We start from the raw sequence: 2,013 nt of genomic DNA on the forward strand, positions 1-2,013 counted from the left end.
ACCTCAGAATTCTAATTGGTCAAGGCAGTCTCCACACAGCCTCTAGAAGAGGTTACAATAGTTTCTCCTTATCCCTGACTATAGAGGATTCTCCTGGCTGCTGCTTCTTCACTAGGAAAGAAAACAAAACAAAACAAAACAAAACAAAACAAACAAACAAACAAAAAAACACTTTTCCAACACCCTAGGAAAGGCTTGCCATTTAAAAAATTTTGTTTAGTGTTCTCTGTGTCCTCCCATTGCCAGTGAATAAGAACAAAAACAAAAACATTGTGCTCTAACTTGTCCAGCCTTTCCTTGTTAGGGTGGAAGAAACAGTCTCTTATGATTTTTTTTTTTTTTGCATTCTAAATTCATTTTTTGCATTTAAGCAGAAGTTGACCATTCTACCATTCTTTCCCTAACTTCTGTGGTCTGAATTTTGTATTTTCTACTTATAAAATTACACTACTTTTCATGCCTGATTCCTTGTAACAATCTGTGGGGGTCATGATGTTGGAGGGTCTGCTGCCCTTGGAGTATCAGTATTAATCAGGTGGAAGGATGCCATCCCTTTTTCTTTGTTTTTAGTCATGGAAAGTGTCCTTGTTGGAATACATTCCCACTCACCCTGGTATCTCTTGATAAGTAGTAATTTGAAGTTATCTTGACGCCAGTCCCAGGAATGATTTCCTTCCTAGTACACTCCTGGAACCACAGCCCTCATGGTCATTGTAGCAATTGACCATACTTAAGAGGTACTTCATTCTGTTGTCAATCACTGGACTGCCAGTTACTCAAAAGTTACTAACTTTTAGTTTCAACTTTTAGTAAACAAACAAACAAAAACAAAAATAAATGGACACATTGGTCTAGATTCTATAAATGGAGTAGGAAATCCTAGTTTCTTGAGAATCCAGGTGGAGATGATGTTAGTGAATTTGTAGGGTTGGTAGCAGCAGGCTGATTTCCTTGGTCTGAGTAAGCTCAGTATTTGAAAATTATCTGCATTAAGACAGTGCATGTTGAAATTGTCTTATAGAAATGCTGTGGATTCCTTGCTGTATATAAAATTACAACGTGTACACGACTGGCATGCACACTATGTTCAAGGTACAGATCCGTGGTCCACAGAGGGCTTCTACATGATTTGAGGGAAGATAGAGACTAGAAGTTTATTTCAGCTTTCTGTCAGATTATATGGGAAAAAATATCATACAGCATTTTAAAAAGACATTCAATGTAGTTTCCCCAGAGTCCAATTATTTTTTTTTCTTGTAGAAGAAGAATTGCTCACTATCAACAAGGAGTTCACAATTTTATTGAACTTAAATAGCAGGTAGAGACAACTAAACAACAAGCTTATATTGAATACTTCCTCTGTGGCCAGCATAATAATGGGATTGTAGTCATATGACATGCTCTCTTAAGTAAAAGAGATTATACCCTAGATCAGGAAACTAACGTATATACCTAATCAAAGTATTTAAGCATTACTTTTATTGTTGCTATTATTTAAATCTTTCCTTGAATTTTTAATTGGCAAATAATAATTGTGTATATTTATGGGGTAAAATGGAAAGTTTTGATTGTTGTATACATTATAGAAAGATTCAATTAAGCTAATTAACACAACCACGAACTTATTATTTTGTAATGAGAACATTAAAATTCTACTCTTTTAGCAATTTTGAAATTTACAATACAGTATTATTAACTATGGTCATTATGCAGTGAAATAGATCACTAAGCCTTATTCCTCCAGTCCAACTGAAACGTTGTACCCTTTGATCAATGCCTCCCCTTCCCGCATCACTCACTCTTCCACCCCCGAGCCTCTGGTAACCGCCTTTCTATTCTGTTTCTATGAGATCCACTTTTTTAGATTCTACACTTGAGTGAGATCATACAGTATTGGTCTTTCTGTGCCTGGCTTATTTCACTTAGCATAATGTTTGAAAGTTGTCCAACAAATGGTTCAAACAAAGTGTTGCAGGAGCTCAGATGAGGGAGTAGATAGAAAAGTGCTGAGAA

Source organism: Homo sapiens, chromosome 2, assembly GCF_000001405.40.
Source record: "Homo sapiens chromosome 2, GRCh38.p14 Primary Assembly".
In the NCBI taxonomy this organism is placed as follows: Eukaryota; Metazoa; Chordata; class Mammalia; order Primates; family Hominidae; genus Homo; species Homo sapiens.